The 11,262-nt window shown below is 47.1% G+C and overlaps 1 protein-coding gene across 1 annotated transcript in view; it reads left to right on the top strand.

Moving 5' to 3' along the window:
- Positions 1 to 416: 416 nt before the first annotated feature.
- Positions 417 to 11,262, top strand: part of RHBDL2 (rhomboid like 2) — a 56,024-nt gene continuing 45,178 nt past the window's right edge. Inside the window, exon 1 of the mRNA NM_017821.5 lies at positions 417 to 565. The gene's annotated coding sequence lies outside the window, so the exon portion shown is untranslated. The remainder of the gene's footprint in view (positions 566 to 11,262) is intronic.

Below are 11,262 nucleotides of genomic sequence, written 5' to 3'. Positions count from 1 at the left end.
CAAAGCTATTTCACCAGGGGCCATGGTGTCACCAATTCTTCTGTGGACTAAATCTCTGCTGAGGATCGTCAAGTCACCCACCCTGGTGCCCAGTACAGGCCTGGCTTCAGACTGGAGCATAACCAAATGCAGAGTGATAGAGACCACCCGGTTGAGGCGTCAGAGAGCTGAGAGTGGAGAGCAGGGGACCCAGGCATGAAGCAGGAGGGCAGGACTTGGAGGAGGAATGGAGCTCAGTGTCCTGGAGAAAGAGCAGAGGCTGCCACCGGCTCCCTGGCTAAGACCCAAGCAGGCGAAGAGGAGGACTCATTCATCCAGGGCCAGCCCAGGAGCAAGACTGCCAAGCAGGCCGGCCCAGCCCAGCTGGGAGGGGATTTCCTCAGCCTCCCTCCTCCTGGGCTGGGCAGCTTTGGAACCTGTCTGGAGGATTTTTGTTTGGGGAGGGACGGAGGAGCGCCTGGCAGAGCGGGATCTTCAGGGCAGCGGGCAACCCCTTGGCCCAGGAAGCCTGGAACGCAAGGACCGGAGGGCGTGGGCTGGGACGCCCCTACCTTGGTCTTTCAGGGTAAGATGTGGGAGCTGGGAGGGAGTGGAGGGAGTCCTATGTCAGGACAAGGGGGCGGCAGCAGGAAGTGCAGGGCCGAGGGGTGCTGTGCAGGAAGGAGGAGGGACATGTGGGGTGCTTCGCTGGTAACCCCCCTTCTGGAGTGACCTCCTGGTGTGGCCGCTTTGGATCCTGCTACTTTCATTTTAAAAGTTGGCAGCATGTTGGGCCAGGAGTCAGGGGCTATCTTCCCGAGGGAAATGGCAGGGAAGGGCTGAGGATGAGGACAGAGTAATTCCATTCCTCTTCCCTGCCCTTCACACTGGCTTTCCCTCCAGCCATCACGTTCTCCCCAGCACCCCCTACCCTCCTAAGTTTTTCTAACTCCAACTAAGCCAGTTCCTAGCCCTTTGCTGACCTGGACACTGGAGACCACAGCCAGGGAGACAGTCTCCACTTCTACCCGCAAGGCGGCTCCTCCAGAGTTATTTGTTTCCTTCTTCCTGGTGTGGGTATCAGAGAGATTTCACTCAATCTTTCATTTATTCATTAGTGTTCATTTGTTTATTCATCACTGTTTGAGCATATACCTGGATTCTCTGGAGGGAGGGCTGCGCAATTTCTGCTCCTCTTGGGAATAAGAAAACTGAAACTTATTGCTCAAACATTTGATGGTCATCTACAAGCTGGTGGGCAGCATGGCAGAGCAGAAAATTATTTTGGAGTCACAAAGACACTTGGCTTTTTATCCCATATCTCCTGTTTACCTCCTGAGCCTCAGTTTCCTCAGCTATAATTTTTTTTTAAAGAGACAGGGTCTTGCTACCTTGCCCAGGCTGCAGTGCAGTGGCTGATCATAGCTTACTACAACTTCAAACTCCTGTGCTCAAGCAGTCTTCTTGCCTCAGCTTCCTGAGTTAACTGAGGCACGGCGGCCAGCTCAAAATGATATTTTTATGAAGATGACAGGGAACAATGCATGTTGAATACCAAGCTGGGTGCCAGGCTCATTGTGGAGCCTTCCTAAACACCTGTGCTTTTCCCTTCCTCTTTGACTGCCTTCTTGCCATGCCTCTCCCTAACCAGCAACTCCCTCACCTTAGGCTTGTAAAGATATGCTAGACAACCCCTGGCCTTGAAAGCACGTAGGCAGCGTGTAAACAGAACTGGCCAGTGACGGGTGGAGTGGTGAAGGGAGAGGGAAGGTTGGGTTCCATGGCTCGCTCCCAGTGATTTGGGAGGCCGAGGCGGGAGGATTCCTTGAGTCCAGGAGTTCGAGACCAGCCTGGGCAATAAAGTGAGGCCTTGTCTTTAAAAAATAAAATAAAAAAGAAGGGAGAGCCACATAGGCATGGGATTAGGGAAGGTGTCAGGTGCTGGTTTGTGGTAAAAATACTGGACCAGGGCTGAGTCCAGACATGCTGTGTTTCTGAATTTGCACACTCAACACTGAGCAAGTGATGGGAACCACCAATTCCTAAACTATGGATGCAGGCTAAGGGCTTTTAAATGCATTCTCTTATTTAATCATAATCCTCTTATGATATTATTATTAACCCTATTTTATAGATGGGGAAATGAAGATACAAACAGGTTAAGGGATTTGCCTAAGGTCACATGGCTAATAAGTAATGGATCCAGAATTCAAGTCTAGGTCAGACTCTAAACTCCATGCTTTTTGCTCTGGTGCTTGCTGTCTTTCAAGTTTCTCTGTATTAGAAAGACCAGGCTGGGGGCGGTGACTCATGCCTGTAGTCCCAACATTTTGGGAGGCTGAGGTAGGAGGATTGCTTGAAGCCAGGAGTTCAAAGCCAGCCTGGGCAACAAGCGAGACCCTGTCTCAAAAAAAAAAGAAGTCCTGGCACGGTGGCTCACGCCAGCCGTAGTAATCCCAGCACTTTAGGAGGCCAAGGTGGGAGAATTGCTTGAGTCCAGGACTTTGAGACTGGCCTGGGCAACACAGTGAGACCTCTTCTCTACAAAAAATAAAACAAAATTAGCCTGGTGTGGTGGTGTGCACCTGTAGTCTCAGCTACTTGGTTTTTTTTTTGAGGTGGAGCCTCACTCTGTGGCCCAGGCTGGAGTGCAGTGGCGGCATCCCCATCTCAGTTGATTCTCTCACCTCAGCCTCCTGAATAGCTGGGACTATAGGTGCACACCATCATGCCCAGCTAACTTTTGTTGTTGTTGTTGTTGTATTTTTGGTAGAGACAAGGTTTCATCATGTTGCCCAGGATGGTCTTGAACTCCTGGACTCGAGTGATCCACCTGCCTTGGCCTCCCAAAGTGTGGGGATTACAGGCATGAGCCACCATGCCTGGCCCATCTCAGCTACTTTGTAGGCTGAGATGGGAGGATCATTTGAGCCTGAGACGCCAAGGCTGCCGTGAGCTGAGATCAGGCCGCTGCACTCCAGCCTGGGTGACAGAGCAAGACTGTCTCTCAAGGAAAAGAAAAAAGAAAGACCAAAAGGGCATCAGCATTCCCCAACTACCTCTCTAGACACTGGCCTTTCACTTCCTGTAGATCTGCTCTGGGCTGCTGCATCCAGACTCCTTCCCTGATTCGTTAACTCATTCACTCATTCCTACATCATTCATTAAATCAAGTGCTCTGTTTATCCCCTGAGACTACAAAGTTTCAAGAGGGCAGGGATCATAAGCATGATCCTGTTCATTCAGTTTTATAATCCTGTTCGTTCAGCACCTCATTCATTCCTGATACAAAAATTTTCAATGAATTCTTTGTGAGTAAATGAATTTGACAAATATTTACTGATGCATTCCATGGACTAGGTAATAGGGAGTCAAAGATGAATAATGCGGAAGCCCTGTCCTCAGAATGCTCACAGCCTTGTAGAGGAGACAGTTATAATACAAAGAAGACATTGATGCTCTAGATGCAAACAGAGGTTGCTGATGGAACTAAGAAGGGCATTTAATTCTACCATGCATCCTCGGTGCCTAACACAATGCTAAGCATGTGGTAGATGCTCAGTAAGGCTTTGCAGAGGAGTTGTAAAGGACAGAGTCTTTTAGTTTTGTTTTTCTTTAATTAAAAAATTTTCTTTTCTTTTCTTTAACTTAATCCCAAATGTGATAGTAAGGAACAGAGTCTTAAAGGGGGTGTTAATACTTCCCTGGGACAACAAATGGGGAGTGTGGGAGGATGTTCTAGCAGAGGGAGGAGCTCATGAAAAGACCTCATGGAGAGTGGGAGCTGGAACTGCTAGGGGCTCAGTGTGGCTGGGGCATAGGGTATATTTGGGGAAATGGAAAGAAATGAAGGTGGATAAATAGGCAGGGTTCAGGTCATGAGGTCTTTCTGTGCCTCGTTAAGGAATCTAGGCTTTAAACCAAAGACATTGGATACCCATTGAAAAGATTTTGGCTGGGCGCGGTGGCTCACGCCTCTAATCCCAGCACTTTGGGAGGCCGAGGCGGGCGGATCACAAGGTCAGGAGTTCGAGACCAGCCTGACCAATATGGTGAAACCCCACCTCTACTAAAAAAAAAAAATTAGCTGGGCATGGTGGCGTGCACCTGTAGTCCCAGCCACTCTGGAGGTTGAGGGAGGAGAATCGCTTGAACCCAGGAGGCAGAGGTTGTAGTGAGTCAAGATTGTGCCGCTGCACTCCAGCCTGGGCAACAGAGTGAGACACTGTCTCAAAAAAAAAAAAATTAGCAATGAGAATGACACTACCTGATTTGCATTTCAGAAGTGAGGCTGATGTGTAGGGGCCTAGGATATGAAGACGCCAAGGTTTTCAGGCCTGATGGGTCCCCACCTATCTATGAAAATTAGTCTTCCTTTTTAAGACTTCAGCATGGTTTGTTCATGAAGGATCTCTTGAGTTGGCCTGTTCCTGATGACTGGTACTTTGCCCTCAGCTGTATACTGGGTCACAGTGAATCTGTTCCTCCTAATAAAAGTTTGGAAATTTATAAATAGTTTCCTTTTGTATAATCTGGAATAAGTTCAAGGATACTACTTGCAATACCTTGTGCTTTCTTATGCCAGAGAGCTAGAGATGGAGGTGTAGAAGGGTTTCCAGGAATTATATCTAGCTCTGAGTGTGCCCAGTGAGGGTGTGTCAAACTAGCCAGTGGTCCTGGAACTGGGGATGCGGGGGCACAGATAACATTAAAAGAGTCCATTTCCAGATTCTCAGCTTCTGCAGGGACTCTTGCCTAAAAGTCATCTGCTTGTCTGGATTCTTTTAAGTTCTCCTTTTCAACTCTGTTTTCATTGTTTCTCTTCTTTGGCTTTATAAGAAAGTTACACCTCTGTCCATCCCAAATTCATTGAACAAGGTCCATTGTTCAAAAGGACAGTTAGAGAATGCTGTGTTCCTGAGAGATAGCAAGTAAAGAGAGATTAGGCAGGAGAAACTAAAGGGTGCTGTGCCTCTACTACAGACTCGTAGTATTTGTTTTATTTAAGAATACTCGGCCAGGGGCCAGGCGCGGTGGCTCACGCCTGTAATCCCAGCACTTTGAGAGGCCGAGGCGGGTGGATCACAAGGTCAGGAGATTGAGACATCCTGGCTAATATGGTGAAACCCTGTCTCTACTAAAAATACAAAAAATTAGCTGGGTGTGGTGGCGGGTGCCTGTAGTCTCAGCTACTTGGGAGGCTGAGGCAGGAGAATGGTGTGAACCCGGGAGGCGGAGCATGCAGTGAGCCGAGACTGTGCCACTGCACTCCAGCCTGGGTGACAGGGTGAGACTCTGTCTCAAAAAAAAAAAAAAGAACACTCGAGAATACTCGGCCAGGCATGGTGGCTCACACCTGTAATCCCAGCACTTTGGGAGGCCGAGTTGGGTGGATGACTTGAGGTCAGGAGTTCAAGACCAGCCTGGCCAACATGGTGAAACCTCGTCTCTACTAAAAATACAAAAATTGCTGGGCACGGTGGCTCACACTTGTAATCCCAGCACTTTGGGAGGCTGAGGTGGGTGGATCACCTGAGGTCAGGAGTTCCAGACCAGCCTGGCCAACATGGTGAAACCCCATCTCTACTAAAAATGCAAAAATTAGCTGGGGGTGGTGGCCAGCATCTGTAATCCCGGCTATTCGGGAGGCTGAGGCAGGAGAATTGCTTGAACCTAGGAGGCGGAGGTTGCAGTGAGCTGAGATCGCGCCATTGCACTCCAACTGGGTGACAAGAGCAAAACTCCATCTTGAAAAAAAAAAAAAAACCCAAAAAGCAAAAAACCAAAAATTAGATGGGTATGGTTGCATGTGCCTGCTGTAATCCCAGCTACTCAGGAGGCTGAGGCAGGAGAATTGCTTGAACCTGGGAGACAGAGGTTGGAGTGAGCCAAGGTCATGCCACTGCATTCCAGCCTGGGCAACAGAGTGAGACTCCATCTCAAAAAAACCCCCAAAAACCAACAAACAAAAAAGAATACTTGTTTATTCAACCTGAGGAAGCTGATTAAGTAAAGCCAGAAAATAAAACATAAAATAAAAATAAAGAAATAAAAATATTTGTTTAGGCTGGGCACAGTGGCTCATTCCTCCAATCCCAGCACTTAGGAAGGTCGAAGTGAGAGGATCACTTGAGCCCAGGAGTTTGAATCCAGCCTGGGTAATGTGACAAGACCTCGTCTCTACAAGATTTGCTGGGCGTGGTGGCATGTGCCTGTGGTCCTAGCTATTTGGGAGGCTGAGGTGGGAGGATATCTTGAGCCCAAGAGGTCGAGGCTTCAGTGAGTTGGGTTTGCATCACTGCACTCCAGCCTGGGCAACAAAGCAAGACCCTGTCTCAAAAAACACCCAAATAGGGCCGGGTGTGGTGGCTCATACCTGTCATCTCAATACTTCAGGGGGCCAAGGTGGGCAGATCGCTTGAGCTCAGGAGTTCGAGACCAGCATGGGCGACATGGCTAAACCCTGTCTCTACAAAAAAATACAAAAGTTAGCCAGGTGTGGTGGTACACACCTGTAGTCCCAGCTACTTGGGAGGCTAAGGTGGAAGGATAGCTTGAACCCGGGAGGCAGAGGTTGCAGTGAGCTGAGATCATGCCACTATACTCCAGCCTGGGTAACAGAGTGAGACCCTGTCTCAAAACAAAACAAAACGAAAAATTTGCTCAATGCTAATTATGTGCCAGACACTCTTCTAAGAATTTTACAGATAATAAACTAATTCAATACTGATACCGAATCTATAAAGTAGATATTTACCACCCTCCTTTTACAGATGATGCTCCCAAGGCACAAAGAGGTTTAATAAGTTGCCCAAGGTCACAGAGGTGTCAAGTGGTGAAATCAGAATTTGAATTCAGACACCTTTGAATTCCTCTAGAATTTGTGTTTTAGCCATTATGCTATATTAAACTTAAGAGCTTTAGCTCTTTATTTATGTGTTATAAAATTAGAATTGAGACATGAGCCAGTTGTCATGGGGATGCAAATTAATGCATTTATGGAACCTTTTAAAAATAAAGGTAGATTTTCTTATGGACAGAAAATCTCTTTGATTTGGCTAATTGGTTTGACAGTGAGGACAGGCTTTGCCAACTGGATTATGTGGTAGACATTTTCCATAAACTGAACAAGTGAAATCTGTAGCTCTAAGGTTTGGATGAAAATGTATTTAAAACATGTCTCTAACAAAGACTATGACAAAAAATTTGATCTTGGAGCCGATTTTAACTTGTAAAAAATAATTGTAGTTATTAACTTAAAAATGTATGAGACAGAACAGAGCTTCTTTAAAAAAATTTTTTTTTTTTTTGCGACTGAGCCTAGCTTTGTCACCCAGGCTGGAGTGCAGTGGCATGATCTCAGCTCACTGCAACTTCTGTCTCCTGGGTTCAAGTGATTCTCCTGCCTCAGTCTCTCAAATAGCTGGGATTACAGGTGCCTGCCACCACACCCAGCTAATTTTTTTGTATTTTTAGTAGAGACGGGGTTTGACTGTGTTGGCCAGGCTGGTCTCAAACTCTTGACCTCGTGATCTGCCCGCCTCGGCCCCCCAAAATGCTGGGATTATAAGTGTGAGCCACCGCGCCCAGCCATTTTTTTTTTTTTTTTGAGACAGTCTTGCTCTGTCACTCAGGCTGGAATGCAGTGGCGCGATCTCTGCATTGCTCACTGCAACCTCCACCTCCCGGGTTCAAGCGATTCTCCTACCTCCACCTCCGAGTAGCTGGGATTACAGGTGCCCATCACCCCTCCTGGCTAATTTTTTTGTATTTTTAGTAGAGACGGGGTTTCACTATGTTGGCCAGGCTGGTCTCGAACTCCTGACCTCACGATCTTCTGGCTTCGTCCTCCCAAAGTGCTGGGATTACAAGTGTGAGCCACCCTGCCGGGCCATTTTATTTTTATTTATTTATTTATTTTTGAGACAGTCTTGCTCTGTCATCCAGGCTGGAGTGCAGTGGCACAATCTCGACTCACTGCAACCTCTGCCTCTTAAGTTCAAGCGATTCTCTTGCCTCAGCCCCCTGAGTAGCTGGGATTACAGGCACCCGCCATAACGCCTGGCTAATTTTTTGCATTTTTCATAGAGATGGGGTTTTGCCATATTGGCAGGCTGGTCTTGAACTCCTGGCCTCAAATGATCCACCCACCTCAGTTTCCCAAAGTGCTGGGATTATATGCGTCAGCCACCACACCTGACATTCTTCAAAATTTTTATGGGGATTTATGAAGACTTGTGGACACAGCACGGTGGATAACTCCTGTAATCCCAGCTCTTTGGGAGGCCAAAGGGGGTGGATCATTTGAGGTCAGGATTTTGAGACCAGCCCAGCCTACAAGTGAAAGCCCATCTCTACTAAAAATACAAAAATTAGCTGGGCATAGTGGTGGGCACTTGTAATCCCAGCTACTTGGGAGGCTAAGGCAGGAGAATTGCTTGAACCTAGAAGGCAGATGTTGCAGTGAGCCAAGATTGTACCACTGCACTCCAGCCTGGGCAACAGAGCGAGACTCTGTCTCAAAAAAAAAAAAAAAAAAAATTGTGAAGACCTGTGAGGTATGACACTGATAAACATCGCCGGCCATGTGTTTGCTGGTGGGGATGAAGTTTCTGGTTAGGTGAGGGGAAGTAGCTTATCCGTAGGTAAGCAGGGGCAGAATTGGAGCAAGGACCAGGATTTTCTGACTCCTGCAATGTCAGAGCTCTTTCCATGATACTTCCCTTTTCCTTCCTTCTCCATTCATGGGATTGTTAATTCAGCAAATACTTGCTGAGAAATATTTTCCACTTTTGTGGAGGTCATATTCTAGCAGAAAGAGACAGACAATAAATAAACTAACTATTTTTAGATAATGATAAGTGCTGGGAGAATATAAGTGGGGAAATGTAGTAGAGCATATAGGGGTGCGGGAAGGCATGGGCAGGGGAGACTTCCTAGGGACGTGCTACAGGTTATGAAGGATCAAGACCAACCTTGTGTGTATGAGTTGTAGGGAAGGGAGAGGGCTAGGTAGAAGGAACAGCAAGTACAAAGACCTTGAGACAGGAGAAGATTTGGTGTATTCCAGGAACAGAAAGACGTCCCTGTGGCTGCAGCACTGAGTCGTTGGGAGAAAGTAGTAGAAAGTGAATTCCACAAAGAAGGTAGGAGCTAGGTCATATAGGATCTTATCATTTGCCATTAGGATCCTATATCTATCCCAAAGACAATGGGAAACCATTGAAGGATTTTTAAGCCGAGAGTTAATACACTCTGATTTACGGTTTTGTTTTGCTTCATTGTTGGAGGGAGGCAGGAGTGGAAACAGAGTGAAGACTAATTTGGGAGGGTAATTTCGGGTCAGACATCAGTAATCTACTCAATGGAAGAATACAAAGATGAACAATGTGAATGGAAAGAAAGGCAGAATGGTGTGAGATGTCATTCTGTCTTCTGGTTCTGATGAGGCATGCTGGTAGCTATTACTGTGTAACAGATCACCCCAAAATTTAGTGACTCAAAACAAGAATAGGTGTGGTGGCTCACGCCTGTAATTCCAGCACTTCAGGAGGCCAAGGTGGGTGGATCGCGTGAGCTCAGGAGTTCAAGACCAGCTTCGGCAACATGGCAAAACCCCATCTCTACAAAAAATGCGAAAATTAGTTGGGCATGGTGGCGCTCACCTGTAGTCCCAGCTACTTGGGAGGCTGAGGCACAAGAGTCCCTTGAACTGGGGAGGTGGAGCTTACAGTGAGCTGAGTTCGTACCACTGCACTCCAGCCTGGGCGACAGAGTCAGACCTTGTCTCAAAACAAACAAATAACAGAAAAACCAAGAGCCATTTTATTTCTTCATAATTATGCAAGTCAGGGATTTGGGCAGGGTTCAGCTGAGCAGTTCTTCTCCATGTAGTCATCAGCTAGGGTCATTCACAGCTGTATTCAACTGGTGGATGAGCTGGGCTGGTAGGTCAAGAAGGTTCCATTCATAGGTCTGGCACCTTGGTGCTTTTCTTTATTTCATTTTCACATGACTTTTTCTTTTTTTTTTTTTAAATCAGGCAACCTCCTGAGCCAGACCAGGCTCAGAGAGACTCCTACTTTTGTGCTCTTCTACATGGCCTCTCTTTCCATGTGGGCACCTTGGGCTTTCTCATAGAATGGTGGCCTCCAGGTAGTGTTAGGTTATATGGTGTTAGGCTTCAAAGAGGAAGCATTCCCAAAGGAGCAAAAGTGGGGACCACATAGCTGTTAAGGCCCGGCCCTGCAAAGTATCCAGCATAGCTTCTGCCACGTAGTATTGGTCAAAACCAGTCACAGGGCTGGCCCAGACTTAAGGAGAGGAGAAACAAACCCAAACCATATCTCTCAGTGAGAGGAATGGCAAATTATATGCTCCGTCTTTAGTCTACCATCCTTGGCTTCTGGGAACTGAATAGCCCTAACCATGCTGATGGTGCTGACCCACTTTTAAATCTAAACCACAGTATACTATGTTGGAACAATTTATAGGTCTTTATTCCCCAGTGAATAGAGAGGGACTGGAGAACAGGAGGTGGTTTCCTTTTCTTTCTTTCTTTTTTTTTTTTCCCATGTGTTTCCAGAGCCTAACACATACAAGGCATTCAGGGAATGCTACCACTGGATGCACACATCACATAAGCATTCACTGGTAGTTGAAACATGATGTATATAAGAATCCCCTGGGAGCTGTTAAAAAGGCATGCAGATTTCTTTTTTCTTTTTTCTTTTCTTTTTTTTTTTTGAGACGGAGTCTCGCTCTGTCACCCAGGCTGGAGTGCAGTGGCGTGATCTCGGCTTACTGCAAGCTCTGCCTTCCTGGGTTCACACCATTCTCCTGCCTCAGCCTTCCGAGTAGCTGTGACTACAGGCGCCCGCCAACACGCCCAGCTAATTTTTTGTATTTTTAGTAGAGACGGGGTTTCACTGTGTTAGCCAGGATGGTCTCGATCTCCTGACCTCGTGATCTGCCCACCTCGGCCTCCCAAAGTACTAGGATTACAGGCGTGAGCCATAGTGCCTGGCCGCCTGCAGATTTCTGAACAAGACCTGAGCCCAGACCCTCTGAATCCAAATCTCTAGGGCAGAAGTTTTCAGTCTTGGCTGTACATGAAAAGATACAAGTGCCAGGCCTTCACCCCAGAGACCCAGTTTCTGTTGATCCGGGGTGAACTCAAACACATTTAAGTCTCTTCAGATGATTCTGATGTGAGGCCAGGGTGAAGAACCAGTGCCCTAGGATTAGAAGCAGCCATCTCTGCTAACCTCCCCAGATGATTCT

The sequence above is a fragment of the Homo sapiens genome, chromosome 1 (genome assembly GCF_000001405.40).
Source record: "Homo sapiens chromosome 1, GRCh38.p14 Primary Assembly".
In the NCBI taxonomy this organism is placed as follows: Eukaryota; Metazoa; Chordata; class Mammalia; order Primates; family Hominidae; genus Homo; species Homo sapiens.
The sequence above is the reverse complement of the archived record's forward strand: the minus strand, read 5'-3'. Positions and strand labels throughout refer to the sequence as shown.